This window comes from Homo sapiens, chromosome 6 (genome assembly GCF_000001405.40).
Source record: "Homo sapiens chromosome 6, GRCh38.p14 Primary Assembly".
Classification (NCBI taxonomy): domain Eukaryota; kingdom Metazoa; phylum Chordata; class Mammalia; order Primates; family Hominidae; genus Homo; species Homo sapiens.
The window spans coordinates 12,581,570-12,598,610 of record NC_000006.12 but is presented as its reverse complement, the minus strand read 5'-3'; the positions used below and the strand labels follow the sequence as shown (position 1 = coordinate 12,598,610).

Genomic DNA, 17,041 nt, shown 5'->3' with positions numbered 1-17,041 from the left:
GAAGGGGAGGAGACATCAGAAAAGTATATTGTGAAAAGTCTTAAATAATTTGCTGCATCACAGTGAGAATTTTGATTAAGGATATGGACTTTCTTCTGAAAGCATTGAGGAGCCGCTCAAGTGTTTTAAGAAGGATAGCAGAGAGATAAAATTTATCGCTTAGAAACATCACTCTTGCACAGCTTTAAAGAATTGGAGGGTGGCCAGAAGAGGCAGAGAGATGCATTAGGAGGCTTTTATTCTAAACCAGGTGGGAGATGAGGATGGCCAAAGCTGAGTAGTGACAGTAGATGGGATGTAGAGAGGAGGTTAGAATTGATTAATGTTAGGAAGGAAGATCTAACATAAATTGCTGTTGGTTTGGTGTGAGAAGTCAGAGAAAGTAATCCCTACAAGTGAATAAAATTGCTTGGGAAAGGTAATGGAGTGAGAATTGGGTCAAGGTCTGAACCCTGGAGACTACGAACATTTAAGGGATAAGGACTAATAAGTCAGGAGGAGACAGCTAAAAGGAAGGGAACTGGTAAAGAGTCAATATTTCAGAAAGGAGAGTATTCCATGAGTATCTTACTTAGAAAGGAGAGCATTCTAAGAAGGAAGAAAAGATCAGCAATATACAATGGTGCAGAAAGATCAATTAGAATGAGAATTAAGATGAGTTCATTGATTTTTCAATGAGGAGATTAATAAAACAATCTAAGTACTGGTAGGGGAAAAACAGATTGGGATTATTTTAATAAGAGTTTTTCTGTGTGTGCGTGTGCATGTGTGCATATGCATGTTTGCTTTTTGAAATGGAGAGGAGCTGAGCTTTTGTTCATGCTGAACCTAAGGAAGAGGATAAAGATGCAAAGATAATGGAGATGATGATTTCATAGCTTCCAGGTGAGATGTGAAAGGTCCAGGTCTCAGTGACTTGAAGAAAGGCTGGGTTTTATCTAGGAGGAAGAGGGAATACATTTTCCTATGAGACCAGGTGATGGGGTGGAGGGAGATATGGATGGATAGGTGATGGCAAAAATAAATGGAAGATTTTCATGAACGGTGGTCTCTCTTTTTTCGAGAAACAGAAAATTAGTTTATTTCCTGACAGTAAATAGATATAGGGCAGCGTTGAAGGCTCAGCACTACAAAGTATAGAGTTAGTGACTCTGAGGAAGAGTTGAAAAAAGTGCAAGCAATGTTTGAGTGTTCATTTGAGTTGGGAATCACAAATGGCCCTGTCCTGCTCCACACTACTGCCTCCTTTGTGAATGCTTATTCACTCTTCAAAGCTCACATTAGATGCCATTTCCTCTAGCATGTTATCTGTTATAGAAGCCATCCCTATAACTTACTCACTTTTGAATCGCTAGGTTTGAGTAAAGTGCCTGGAACACTGCAGCTGGTCAATAAATGTCTGCCCCAGGAACACACATTGCAAGGAAGAGCATGAGCGAATTCCCAGAAGAATGGCTAGAATTAATTTAGATAAAATGTTTTAATCAGAGAAATTCATCTTCATCTTCTTCCCACTTCTCTTCTCTTCCATCATCTTCTGTCTCCTGATGTCTCTGCCATCTCTCTTCAGCTCCACTTCCCGTACCCATCAATAGCCTTCCCCTTCTGAAACAGTCATCTTTGCCCTCAGCTGACTATATTCTAATTTGTCCCAAACACCACCTTAATAATTAATCCAAAAGTCAACAACACTTAAAATAAGACTCCTCCCAAGTGTATTTGTTTTAAAAAGGAGAGACACTACTATTTGCCTGGAGAAGCAAATGAGCTCAAATATTACAGAGAAAGAATCCATCCTGACACGTGGAAGCCTTCCTTCTGGGTGGCTTCCCTGCTAATAGGCTCAGCTAGTTTCTCAGGGAGGAAGCCACCATCACCACATTTTTCATTCTGGGAAAGAGATGACCTTGCTCATTATTTGGAGGAGTAGGGAAAAAAATAAACACTTGGTACATTGCCTTAATAAAAATTGAACAAGCATGTATATGAGGGACAGCCATGCTCTAAAACACAAATTGTATGTCTCTCTTCCCTGCTCCATGCTAATCTCTGTCAATACTTTTCACCTCTCTGTAAATGCTCCACTCTCCTATGACCTTTGCTGGAGTCTGTGTTGATAGGGAGAGATTTTTGTAGGTTTGCCTGCCATTCTCCTTTATGTGTATTATTAATGTCAATACTGGGTCAATATTCCTTTTGCCATGAAATGTCCAGTGAAAGTCTAACATATCAATTGATTACTCTTGTATGAAGCAACTAAAAGGGAGAAATGAAGTGCTTATATAGAAGAAAGACATCCTTAAAACCAAGAAAAATTAAGGCATCACTGATAGTATTTACTGAGCCATCAGAGTGGGTATTCATCAGTTTAAACCTCTTGTGTGAGTCTTTTTGCTGACAAATACGTCTTGGATATGATGCAACTTTTTACAATTAATTCTAGGTGATCCTCCTGCACCCAGGAAATCTGTGTGCAGAGCTTAGCATGCCTGGGACCAGTAAATAAAGTTTTCCTCCGTGCAACTAAACCGTTTGATTGCTGTTATTGATCTTGACCACCATGAATAAATTTACAAATAGCAGGTTGTTTTTTTCTCCTAGGGTGTCTGATTTTCTGCCCATTCTCTTGAGTCAAATTACATTGTTTATCTCCTAGTGACTCCATCATTTATGTTTTTCCTGGGATCTCCAAAAGCTGAGAAATACTCAAGGCTGGGTTTGCCTGAAGGATACTGAAATCTGCTCATTTGAATCTCCTTCCTCCACGAGTTTCTTATCTGGTCCCATCCACAAATTCACAAAGATGTTGCATCTGGGGGGAATCCCAATTAGATCTTACCCATCCCAATTTAGCCCGTTTCGAAATCATAGATGCAGGAAGAAAACGGAACCACCATCATTATAACTTGTAGTTTCTTGGTTTCTGTGTGACCTGTTACTTTTTCTGCTTACTCCTTCCTCTGTTTAACTCTACATCGCTTCCCCTTTTTCCTATAGACTGTTATTTACCCTATGGTTATAGGCAAATTGATATTTCAAAAGAAAGGAAAAGAGAAACAAAAGTTCTGCACCTTGTTCCTCCTTTAAGGACAACGTTTGCAAAAACAGTGACTTCTGAGCTGAGACCACGTGTTGGAGCAACTACCTCACGGGACCACTTTGCAGGACCGCAACATCTGCTTGGGATGGTCTGGGTTCAGCCTTATGTGATCATCGTTCCTAAAAATAGTTTCTTTTGTTTTGTTAATAAAATTAGAGAATGCTGATAAAGTTCTCTTAAAGGGTCAAAAGAGGAAAGCTCATAAATTACAGCATTCCATTAATGAACAAAGCTACAAGAATGCAGATTGAGAAACAGCAAAAATTACAGGTCACAAGCTCTGTGATGTGAAAGAGTAGGAAGCTTCCAGCCTTTCCTCCACAGGCAAGATGAAGAGCTGGAAATGAACTCACCCTAATCTCTAAATTAACTTAGATAATGCCAGTTCCCATATATCTTTTACTTATCTCAGATGAAAATGAAATTGAGGTGAAAGAAAGCCCAGGCATGCTCTTCAGAAGCTCAAAGCAGAAGAAAAGTTGGTCAAAGAAATTACTACTTCCATTGTGTGTTTCTTTGTATAGATCTAAATAAACACAAAAATAATTATCCTCCTCCTTCTCTCCTTCTTTTCCTCTCTTTAATATTTTTTTTAAAAGTTTTACCACACTTCTTTGCCAATTAGAGCCACAGCATCTAAGCCCTAGATAGTCCCTTTTTAAGAGGTCTTCCTGCATGAGCCCTTCTCCTCCCACAGCACATTACATTTCTTCCTTTATGTACGGGTTAACCACATTATTTATGGTCAAATTGGGACACTTTTGAAAGTGAAAGAAGTGTTACAGTAGGTAGTCAGGCAGAGATGAGCAGAGCAAGAGAGGCTTCCCCACTCCCCCGCATGGGAAAGTCAAACAACCGTCAGGTGATGGTCAGGCAGTTGTCAATTGTCTCTCTAAAACAATCATTGGTTGCAACCCATGCAGGGAAAGGCAGTCTCTCAATAGAAACACCTGAAACTGGTGATCAGCAGCTTCCCAGTAAGATCTCAGGAGCTGGGCAAGTGGGCTGACACCTGTAAACTAAGAGGCAAAATGGCAGAGTTTAACTGGATATGACCTTATGGGAACGCTCGACTGATAAGGGAAGAATGCTTCAAGTGAGCATGCGCACAACTCCAGTAAACACACGGCACCTCCCCTCCCAAGAGCTGGGAGGTCACTGCTCATGCAGACAGGCTGCCCTAAGGAAAGGCTCAGGGGAGAAGAGGCACAACTCCTCAGAAACGTGCCAACATATAAAACCCCAAGTCAGAAGTCAAATAGCGCTCTTGAGCTCTCAAGTTGCCCACGTGGCCCTCTTGCAAGGGTGCTTTATTTCCTTTTGTTCCTGTTCTGAAGCTGTTTAATAAGCTTTCACTCCTGCTCTCAAACTTGCCTCGGTCTCTTACTCTGCTATAGGCCCCTCAGTTGAATGCTTTCTTCTGAGGAGGCGAGAGCTGAGGTTGCTGCAGACCCATACAAATTTGCTGCCACTAACAGGAGTGCTGTTAATGATTACTCTGGGACAGGAATACATAGCGGGGGCGATTGCAGGCAAACTGACACTTAACATTCACCCCACTTCCAGGTACCCATTCAGCTGATTCAATGCTGGTTTCCACTTGCTGACCTGCTGCTTTTGGAGTCCTTCTCAAGTTGCTTCTTATGCGTCAACTGGGTGGCAAACTCAGTGGCCTCTCCTCTAGGATTCCCCTCCCTTTCACACATAGGCAACATCTCAGCAAATGCTTTTCTTTCTCAAGGTCAAGGGAAAACATTCAAAACATCTCTTGTGAAAGTTATGTATTTAAAAGGCTGAAACCTGAAAAGAAGAGTACTGGTGTACATGAAAAATCTCTCTCTGGATAAATGCTTGAGGAGACGGATACCCCATTCTCTGTGATGTGCTTATGTCACATTGCATGCCTGTATCGAAACACCTCTTGGAACCTAGAAATATATACAGCTACTACATACCCACAAAAATTAGAAGTTAAAAATTTTAAAAAAAAGAAAAACCTCTCTCCTACTGGTCTGCTTGGTTCTGATCCTGGTTCTTTGGCAAAGCTTTTTTTACTTCTGCTTTTTTTTGGCAACTAGGTAGAACTTCAGGTAAAATAAAACAAATAAAAATGTATTGTGAAATATACAATATATGCAAAGGAGACTATGAAACGTTTATGTGCCATTTAAAGAATAACACTTAAGAACTAGAATATTGCCAGTATTTCAGAACCACCTTCCTCACCTAGTAAATCTCCATGATCATGTCCTCCTTCCCCTTGACAGAGGTGACAGCTCTCTTTAATTTTCTGTCCATTATTACCAGTTCTGCTTTTCAGTTTTTCACACTTGTGTGTATCCCTACAAAAGATCTCTGCTTTTTAGGGGGTCAGAGGGTGATTTCATGTAATAAGGAAAGAAAACTGTCATTCTTCTAAGAGCAAATTGTTCTTTTTAGAGAAAAAAAATTACTAAAACCTGATGTGCTTTCCAAATACTTAACCAACACATCACACATCAACACATGTGGAAGGGAAGAGGCTTAGGGAAAATCCTCAGCACTCACACTCCACTTCTAGGGCTCTGTCTTTGTGTTCCATTTCCGTATGGATGAAAAGCCAGCTTCCATTGTTCGGAATTTACATGAACAACTAATGTCCCCGAGGAAGTGGTGACTGATGTGGGATTTCCAACTTGTGGCAATTCTGCAGGCAGAGACCATGTTAGGCAAAACTGCCAACTATGTGAAGTATGTTGACAGTGGCACTCACTAAATTCCTATCCTCTGAGCCTCTGTGCCCACCTGGGGAGCCAGTGCGCTCTCTCATTTTCTATCATCTTGTTCATTCAAACCTTAAAACTAATCCATCACATTGATGAAGCTTAAGATAGGGCTTTGTAATCATTTCCCACCCAAATGGTCCAGCGGTAAAGGATAAGGGTATTTCGAGGGGTTTCTGGACATGAGAAGGCCATGGTAAGTATAGATTTGTTTATTTTCATTGTGGAGTATATCACACGTACACAGAAGAAACTAAAATACAACTGCACTCTAAGGAATAGTGATAGGCCGGGCGCGGTGGTCATGCCTGTAATCCCAGCACTTTGGGAGGCTGAGGCGGGCGGATCACAAAGTCAAGAGATCGAGACCATCCTGGCTAACATGGTGAAACCCTGTCTCTACTTAAAAAATACAAAAAATTAGCTGGGCATGGTGGCGGGCACCTGTAGTCCCAGCTACTTGGGAGGCTGAGGCAGGAGAATGGCGTGAACCTGGGAGGCGGAGCTTGCAGTGAGCCGAGATCGTGCCACTGCACTCCAGCCTGGGTGAGAGAGCGAGACTCTGTCTCAAAAAAAAAAAAAAAGAATATTGATAGAATGAACACCCACATGCCCAACACTGAGCTTTAGAAATGGAATATATGCCACACCTTAAATCTTTCTGGGTAAACCTCAAAGACTGCTTCTCCCGCCCCTCATCAGAGGTAACCACTGTCCTGAATTTTGTGTTCACCATTTCCTGCTTTTCTTTATGGTTTTAACACACGTGTATATAACCCAAAACAAAATATAGTTTAGTTTTTTCTTTGGGGGGAATGTATATAAATTGAAATTTTTTATTTATATTTTCTTGGGACTTGCTCCTCTTGCTCAAAATTATGTTTTGGGAAGTCATCCTGTTTATGCCTGTGCCTGTAGCTCACTAAACTTTCACCGTTGCACAATAATCCTTCCTATGAATTTATTTACTCTCCTTTTTTGTCTTTGAGACAGAGTCTGACTTGTCACTGGGCTGGAGTGCTGTGATGCTGCTATCACGGCTCACTGCAGCCTTGACTTCTTGGGCTCAAGCCATCCTCCCACCTCAGCCTCCCCAGTAGCTGGGACTACAGGTGCATGTTACCACGCCTGGCTAATTTTTTTTTTTTTTTTTTTTTTTTTGAGACGGAGTCTCACTCTGTTGCCCAGGCTGGAGTGTAGTGGCGCGATCTCTGCTCACTGCAAGCTCTGCCTCCTGGGTTCACGCCATTCTCCTGCCTCAGCCTCCCCAGTAGCTGGGACTACAGGCGCCCGCCACTACGCCTGGCTAATTTTTGTATTTTTAGTAGAGAAGGGGTTTCACCTTGTTAGCCAGGATGGTCTCGATTTCCTGACCTCGTGATCTGCCTGCCTTGGCCTCCCAAAGTGCTGGGATTACAGGCGTGAGCCACCGCGCCCGGCCACGCCTGGCTAATTTTTGTATTTTTTGTAAATATGGGTTTTTTGCCATGTTGACCAGGCTGATCTCGAACTCTTGGCCTCAAATGATCCGCTGGCCTTGGCCTCCCAAAGTGCTAGGATTAGAGGTATGAGCCACTGCATCCAGCCAGTTGTAGTACATATTTAAACTCCCACCAGATGTAGATGAGAATTCTCATTGCTCAACATCCTCTTAATGTGCTACTGTCTGGTTTTACTCCCAGTCTGGTGGGTGTGAATTGCAGTATCACAAAACTTCACTGTGATTTGTATTTGTACTTCTCTGATTAATGATGAAGCTGAGTTTCTTTCCATGTGTTTATGGGCCATGTATGTTTCCTTTTCTTTGGAATTCCTTTTTTGGGTCTTTTGCCCATTTTTCTATTGGGTCATTTCTCTGTTTCTTAATAATTGCTTGGAGCTCTTTAAATAGTCAAATTAGGAGTAGTGATAGATAAAAATATTAACTACATTTTATTTACTTTTATATATGTGATTTGTTTATATTTGCTGCTCCATAGTTAATTATTTCACCCTTTTGACAAAGAAGGGTTTTTAGTTTTAAAATAATTGAATTCTTCAATTTTCTTCTAGAGTTGTGCATTTTAAATTTTGTTTATAGATACTATCCTACATGCTTTTTTGGGTATTATATGGTTTTGGCTTTTACATTTATGCCTTAATCCTCTTTGAATTTGGTGTTTGTGTATTGTGCATTAGTTGAATAGTTTTTCTTTTTCTCATTGATCTCAAATACTACCCCCACCATAAATCAAATTTTCATATATCTGTGAATTTGTTTCTAAATGTCCCCTTCTGTCGTTTTGGTCTATTTCTTTATTAATGTGCAATATCACATTGTTAATAAGTTAATAACTATAGTTTTACAATGTTTCAATATGTAATGGGACAAACTCCTTGTTTTTCTTCCTTGGGAACATGTTGGCCATCCATTACCCTTTACTCTTTATAGAAATTTCAAAATCAACTTGCCATGTTCCATGGAAAAACCTGTTGGAGTTATCATAATTACATTTATGTTTATGTCCATTAGAAGAGAATGGACAACTTTATGATATGAATCGTTTTATCCAGGAACATGGTATATTTTTCCATAATTGAGTTCTTTACTGAACTTCAAAAAAGCTCTCTCCTTCTTCTCTATTGGTGTCCTGCATGCCTTTTCTTAGATTTATTCCTGTGTGTTTATGTATTTTATATAATTTATGACTTTTGTAAAAGATATCTTAAAGTACATTTTCTATCTGAATTTTTTGATATATATATAAAATTGCTTTTGTTTATTCACTAATTTGTCAATTTTCTTAATTTATTTATTTGCTGATATTTATCTGTTTAAACAATATCACCTGTTAATAATGAGAGGTTGAGCTGGGTGTGATGGCTCATGCTTGTAATCCCAGCACTCTGGGAGGCTGAGGTGGAAGGATTGCTTGAGTCCAGGAGTTAGAGACCAGCCTGGGTAACATATGGAGATCCCTGTCCTTACAAAAATAAACAGTAGCCAGGCACGGTGGCATATGCCTGGGGTCCCAGCTACTTGGGAGGCTGAGGTGGGAGAATCGCTTGAGCCCAGAAGCAAGGCTGCAGTAAGCTACGATGGCACCACTCCATTCCAGCCTGGGCCACAGAGTGAGATCTTGTCTCAAATAATAATAATAATAATATAGCAACAAGAAGAAGTTGATTTCTTTCCTAGTAATTCTTAGAACTTCTCTTTTTCTTGTTTTGTCTTGATAGTTGAGACTTCAACTGCAGTGTGAAAAAGAAGTTGTAAGACTGGTCATCCTTGTCTTGTTCATGATCTTAAAAAGAATACTTGTAACTTTTACTATTATATATCGTATTTGCCCTAGAGTTTTGTAGGTCTTCTTTATGAAGTTAAAGACATTTCCTTTCTAAGTCTTTTTACTCATTTTCTTTCTACTTTTATGAAAGTATTATCATTAATGTTTATTGATTTTATTGAACATCTTTTTTGCAACTATAGATGTAATTATATGGTTTAATCTCTTTTAACTTGTTAAAGTAGTGAATTACAATAATCCTGATCTGTAGTTTTCCTATTTTGTTCTGTCCTTGGCTAGCATTTATATCAAGGTTATACAACTCTCATAAAATATGCTTGGAAGTGTTCCTTTTTTTCTGTTCTTGAATTTATGTAAGAAATATTTGGTAGCATGAGTAAACTCTTCTGGCACATTATTTCCTGTGTGACAAGATTTTTAACTACAGATTGAATTAGATTTTACTATACAGGGGATTTCTAGTTTTTCTTAAGTTATTTTTATGTAATATTTTCTACAAATACATATATTTCATCTGTTCACAACTTGTTGGCCTAAAGTTGTTCATAATATTCTTTTTTTTTCCTTTCTAATATCTATGGAAAGAATAAGTATCTTCTCTCTTTTATGCCTAATGCTATTTGTTTTCATATTTTTTCCTTTTTGGGGGGTAAATATCACCAGACATTTATCGCTTTAAGGAACAATTTTTAGCTTTTTGAAATTTTACTTTCTGTTTTATTTGTTTTTGTACTTATTTCTATTATCTTTTTTTCCCTTTCTTTGGGTTTATTGTGCAGTTCTTTTTCAATTGTTTTAGGTTGGGTATTTAGTTCACTCAATTTTAAGACTTTCCTCTTTTCTAATGTAAGAACTATAAACAATTTTTTTCTCTGATAACTGCTATTGTTGCCTCCTATAATTTTTAAATATAGCTTTTTGTTAAGTGAGAGGGATGGGGTCTTGCTATGTTACTCAAGCTGGACATGAACCTCTGGGCTCAGGCAATCCTCCTGTCACAGCCACCTGAGTAGCTGGGACTACAGGCATGCACCACCATGCCAAGCCTAAAGATAGCATTTTTCTTAACTCTAACTGCATAAACATTGAATAAATAAAGCAGTTTGCCCAGGTATTTATTTACATAATCTGATAATGTGTTGAGAGCATTAGGGCATAGAGTACAGTTTTCATAATTTCTAATGTACTTTTAAAAAAACTTAGATACACCTCAAATAAATAACTCCATAATTTCCTTTCCCTCTCATGTATACATACCTTAACAGGGTAAAAAATAAAATTAGCACGTTTAAAATCAGAAAACGTTCTTACGCAAGGCCCATGGCCTTTTGTATTTATGCTACCTGAAACAGAGAAGACTGAACATTGTAGGTATAGCTAGAAAAACCAAGACTGAATGTGCTTTTAGTTCATCCTCTTTCCAATTAGACACTTCCTCCTTTGCAGGTGGATCCTTTTAGGGGCCCTAGTTTTGGAGCCCAAGAGCTTGGTTTGTTTTAGACTCAACTTCTTAATCAAATGTATCTTTGGCATGTCATTTAACGACTTTACAGGCCGGGCGAGGTGGCTCACGCCTGTAATCCCAGCACTCTGGGAGTCTGAGGCGGGTGGATCACCTGAGGTCAGGAGTTCGAGACCAGTCTGGCCAATATGGTGAAACCCCGTCTCTACTAAAAATATAAAAATTAGCTGGGTGTGGTGGTGGGTGCCTGTAATCCCAGCTACTCGGGAGGCTGAGGCAGGAGAATCGCTTGAACCCGGGAGGTGGAGTTTGCAGTGAGCTGAGAGATCATGCCACTGCACTCCAGCCTGGGCAACAGAGCAAGACTCTGTCTCAAAAAAAAAAAAAAAAAGACTTTACAAACTTCAGTTTCCTTATTTGTTCATTAAAAAATCATAATATCAAATTCCTAGAATTTTTCTAAGGATTTAATAAATGTGAAAAAAGTATTAAAAATAATACTTTATATTTACAAAGTAAATAATTATTAATTATTTTTCTCCCTATAGCAGTATTTCTCCTCAAATTTTCATACTTTGTTTTTTTTTTTTCCTCCTTTGTTTTTCTACTTTCCTACTTCTCCTAGGAAGCTTTCACTTTCCCTCTCTAAATGTTACCGGAAAGGGGTAACAGACCACGAGACAGGGTTCTTGGATCTTGCGCAAGAAAGGATTTGAGGTGAATCCATAGAGTAAAGTGAAAGCAAGTTTATTAAAAAAGTAAAGGAATAAAAGAATGGCGTACAGAAGCAGAGCAGCTCTGAGAGCTACTGGTTGTCCATTTTTATGGTTATATCTTGATGATATGCTAAGCAAGGCGTGGGTTATTCATGCCTCCCCTTTTTAAACCCTATAGGGTAACTTCATGATGTTGCCATGGCATTTGTAAACTATCACAGTGCTGGTGGGAGTGTAGCAGTGAGGACAACCAGAAGTCACTCTTGTCTTGACTGGGTGGGTTTTGGCAGGCTTTTTTTACTGCAACCTGTTTTATCAGCAATGTCTTTATGACCTGTATTTTGTGCGACCTCCGATCTCATCCTATGACTTAGAATGCCTAACTTAGTAGGAATGCAGCCCAGCAAGTATCAGCCTTATTTTACCCAGCTCCTATTCGAGATGGAGTTGCTCTGGTTCAAACACCTCTGAGTCTTCTGACTTACAGGCCGAGTGTTAGAGATTCAATCTTCATAGATGGGAAATCCCCTAGAGATCAATTACATATTTAAAGCACCTCTTTTTGCAGAGGAAAAACAAAGGGGCAGGGAATGATTATCCCAATGTCTGTCACTGGGGGAGGTAAAATTTCCTAGGAGTTAATGGGAGAGTCAAGACCAAAACACAGGTTTCAGGACTCTTCTTACCTGATGAGTGGAACTTTTAATTTTTATTTAGTTAAGTGTTTTGGCCAGTAATTAGCAACCCTTTATGAGGTAGTTATGCCTATAAGACATCCAACAATGGTCCTCTATTGAGTCTACTAGAAAAAAATAACAGTTTTATTAAAAGGCTTGATAACTATGTGATGTTAGTCCAGAGTACCTATGAAGTGATGAACCTCAAGATGCCTATGAATTTAGAAATAAAATAAAATTCAGTCAATAAAATACAACGCTACATTGCAAAGCCAGATCTTCAAAAGCCAGTATGGGGCACAGAACGTGGTAACTGGATAAAAAGTATTTCATTGTTGTTATTTATTTTGTCATCCTTGAGGAAACAGTCCCTAATGGCAAGTCACTTGACTTATAAACTAACAGACTTCATTAAATCGATATTGATTGATTTGACATCAGCAGTCACTCACTGAGGTTCATTCAGTCCACGCATCTGAAAACACTGGGGGATCATGCTTGCCCCTAAGGTGCCGTGACTTTGGTACACAACACCTAAATGTCTCCAGAAAGTTCACAGATGCCTGGCTAGCCGCCATCACTCCGAGTGCAAAGGATGCCCAGTGCCCAGCTGATTCCATCACGACAGCGTCCTTAACAATAGCTGTGGACTATTGCTTGTTTAACCTAGCTTCAGGGACCAACATCATTCGTGGAGAGGGAGCGAGCAGGAGTCTGGTCAGTCACGTCCAGCCTTGGCGCCTAAAATTAGGCAGGGCTGTGGAGTAACATGAGCGGTTTGGGCGTCCACTGTCCGGCTCCAGTATCCCCGAGTCCAGAGGCAACAGGAGTCTCTAGTCATTATGCATGTAGAGAAATCAAAGAATTCGAGAGCAAGGGCCTGGAATGCCTGGCTGCCTCCCAGCTCTCTTACGAAGAAATAAATTCCATTGTTGTCTCACTCTCCTTTCCGTACTCTCAGAATCAGCAGTTACTGTACGCCAGCACCTTTCACTCTCCAAGGAGACTGCTCAGCTACAGCAGGAAGCACAGGGATCTTAAAACATAAACTCACAGTGCTCCCCACATTGATCTCCCACACAAACCCATCTCTCCTGTCAGGGACTGTGGGCTTCGTGACTTTCTCCATGTGCTGGACTGTCGCATGGTCACTGTTGCCAGGGACTCTTTGAACTAATCCCAAGCCTATGTCAGAAAAGCCTGTGATCGATTCCCAGTGCCATCCTGAACCACAAGATTGGAATATCGCACCTTTCAACTGCCTGGGCTGATAAACAATACAGCATGTACTCAGCTTCATAAACACTCTGCCTTGTTACAAAGGGCATTGCAAACTCGCCGTGATAGGACTTGACCTTAAAAGCTATAGACAATCTAGCGGAGCACAGACGGTTTCATAAAGTACAATCACTTCCTGGAATTCTTGGGCCAGTGCAGTCGGAGCCGTGCAAATCCTGTTTTCCTTGCATTGTTTCCTGCATGTGAATATCATCAGTCTAGCAGGTCTGTAACCATGGCACTTGTAAATAGCCGAGGGGCGACTTCTGATAAAGGCATACAGTTTTAAGAAGCTTTTTTTTTAAGACAAGCCTAAGTCAAGCTCTACAAATGCCATATAGTAACAACCAAGTCGACAAATTGCATTTTCTAAAGCACATATATCCAGATCCAGATTTGTTTTTAAATCACCAAGGGAAGCAGAATCGATGCCCATTGTATTGAGGGTACCGTGAGTTGTTTTTCACTTGTTGTAATGTGAATTTCCACGCCAAATCCATAGAGATGGACACTGACTACAATTGCTAGCAATTCTTTCCACAGTATGTTTCCTTTTCCACTGAATGGGGTTGGGAAATTTTAATTGCTCCATCCTTCAGTTTCTCCAATCAGCAAGAGGAAGAGAAAACACCAGTTATTTCTTGGAATGCTCAGTTTAAAACTTTCTCTTCAAAAGTTTGACACCACTCTTCCTACTCCAACTTTATTTGGTGCTTGACAGGCTCTTATTTAAGCTTTGAGATGATATGGTGAATGAAACGTGTGGTCTCAGCTACTCAGGAGGCTGAGGTAGGAGGATCACTTGAGTCCGGGAGGCGGAGGCTGTTGTGAGCTATGGTTGCACCACTGAACTCCAGCCTGGGCAACAGAGCGAGACCCCCACCTCAAAAAAAAAAAAAACAAAACAAAACAGGGAGACACAAACAAATAGACTGCTTTAAGTTTCTGGAAAATCCAAAGATGTTTACTAGATTTGCTGCAAATGCCTCAGTATGTAAAGTTTGAATTGGCTGAATCAATCCTGATTCTTCCGCTTTCTATATTATTGAATTGTTGGTTAAACTGACAATAAAAGTTAAAATTCTTAGCAGATGTAAAATGTGATGGATATTGGGCGAAGTGTCGACAAAAGTGTTTTAGGCTGAGAAGGATATCCTTGGGAGAGAAAGAAAAGAAGAGACCACTCATACAATAGTATGAGACTATTGCTTATGTTTTCATAGACTTATGTTTAATTTTTTAAGATTCAGAAGTCTTTCTGAAACTTTATTTTCTCTCTCTCTCTTTTTTTTTGAGATGGGGTCTCTCTCTCTCTCTTTTTTTGAGATGGAGTCTCTCTCTCTCTCTCTCTCTCTCTCTCTCTAGCTTGGGCTGGAGTGCAGTGGTGCAATCATAGCTCACTTCAGCCTCAATCTTCCAGGCTCAAGTGATCTTCCCGCCTTGCCTCCTAAAGTGCTGGGATTATAGGCATTAGCCACAGTGCCTGGCATATTTCTATTTCTGAATTTTAAATTAAAATCAGTAACATCTGACCAATATCTTCACTTGAGTATCAAGGACAAGTTTGACGCCTTTGGGAGAAATTATGTCTTCTATTATGCCAACACATTACACGTGGTAAGCACTAAAAGTTTTAGGATAGTAATTAACAAAATATACCTCAGTTTAATGCTTTCTCTTAAAATAATGCTTTCTCTTAAAATATTTTTGATGAGTTGTTTTTCTCATATCTTATAATGATGATCTGCTTTCAAATCTTCACTTTCCATGAAACTACTCTGTGTTTCAGGTGTCATCTAACTTTTTTTTTTTTTTTGACAGTCTCTCTCTGTCACCAGGCTGGAGTACAGTGGGGCAATCTCGGCTCACTGCAACCTCTGCCTCCCGGGTTCAAGCGATTCTCCTGCCTCAGCCTCCCGAGTAGCTGGGACTGTAGGTGCACGCCACCATGAGCAGTTATTTTTTGTCTTTTTAGTAGAGACGAGGTTTCACTATGTTGGCCAGGCTGGTCTTGATCTCTTGACCTCGTGATCTGCTGGCCTCAGCCTTCCAAAGTGCTGGGACTATAGCCGTGAGCCACCATGCCAGGCCCATCTAACTTTTAATATAGATTGTATGATGTTTTCATAAAACAAGCAGGGCTCAGAAAGGCCGTATAAAGCCACAGAGCCAGCAAGCAGCAGAGTCTGCATTTTAATCCATATGTTCATGGCTTCAAAGCAATGTTATTTAACTCTAACAATGCAATTGAACTAACAACTGACATCAGACACAAATATTCTGAAGAACCTGGAGAAATAGAAAAGAATTGGATAGAACTGATGGCTCATGGGCAGAAGCTGTGCATCAGGAAGAGGAAATAAATGGCATTGTTCAGCCATGAAGCCATATAATTTCAACCTGACTTTCCTTCTCTATTGTCCTGTCTCATTGTCTAGCTTGAAATGTGGCCGCAGTCATGTCAAGTGGCTAACTTCCTGCATATTTGGTTTCCTCATGGGAGCTTAGTAATTCCTGATTGATTTAGAGCAAGAAAGTAAAATAAATTCTAGTTTTTCCAACTTCCATGCCATGGAAGTGAAAATGTATTTTCACATTGATGTCTTTAACCACTTCCCCTGCACGAACTAGTGATATGATGCCAATTCTCAAAGGATCTGACTTCTCTTTGCATTTACATAAGTTCTCCGAGCTCAAGGGTAAGGTAATGTACACTTCCCCTGGCAGCCAGCAGGCTCAGAGGCATTCTCTGTTGGTTAAAACCACTTCTCTGGGTCCCATTACCATATTGCCTGCAACCTAATAATGCCACGCCAAATTTGGCCTTCTGATAAGCAAGAGTAACTTCCTCTATAGCCAGAGGGAGGCACATAGCATGACTTTGGAGCCAGACATAGCTTTATATATTATATTTACTTTAGGGGGCAATTCATTTACGGGCACAGGCAGGGACATAAATACCTCCTTTTCATGAGGGTCCCAGAGGGACAGCAGGCATACAATGTCACTTCATACCACACAAACAATACAACATAGAAGACTCCTCCTAGCATAATAAACAAGCCACAGTCACCGTGTTCTTGACATTGACAATGCTTTTTAAAGTTAGATCAAAAAGGTGCTTGGGCTTTTTAAACATGTTTTTAAACTTGGTGTCTGTCTGGACAGGGCAAAAAGTCCTCTCCATCTGTTGGATGCAATAGACCTGGAAGTCGCGTGATTTAAATAAATTGTGCTTGCAGCATTTTGAAGGTATTTTTCCTTAGGAGCTGCATGGTAAAAAGAAATTATTTGGGGTTTTCGTTCTGTCCACAATGTTTAATCAAGTATAGTTTATATTACTTTTCTTTTGATAATTAGACAAAGCCTGGTAGAACAGAGAGCAATCCAATAAAGAAGTGAAATTTCAGCTTACATTTTTCAGAGGATCACTGAATACATCTAAGATTTACAATTTTAATTATTGGCTATAACTATTAACTTGTAATTAATTATATAAAGTATTTTGATATTTTGATAGGTTTCTTAGGAGTTTTATTTTTCTTTTTTAAGGGAGGCAGTAACTAACTTCTCTTTTAAAAGAAAATTAGCTTAAACATCAATTGGAAGTTAAGGCCAATATTAGAGAAACATCAAATTACTTCCAAAAATCAACCAGTCTGTCTCCTTGTGTCTGTCCTGCGTTTTGAAAGTGTGAAAAACCAATAATAGAAATTTTTCTCCAAAATAAATTAAATATCATTTACCCAGGAACAGGAA

The 17,041-nt window shown here is 39.7% G+C and overlaps 1 long non-coding RNA gene across 1 annotated transcript; it reads left to right on the top strand.

Moving 5' to 3' along the window:
- The first annotated feature begins 13,206 nt into the window (after positions 1-13,206).
- LINC02530 (long intergenic non-protein coding RNA 2530) lies at positions 13,207-15,843 on the top strand. The gene is made up of 2 exons (NR_149140.1): positions 13,207-13,507; positions 15,104-15,843. It is a non-coding gene; the product is annotated as a long intergenic non-protein coding RNA 2530 (long non-coding RNA).
- Positions 15,844-17,041: the final 1,198 nt, after the last annotated feature.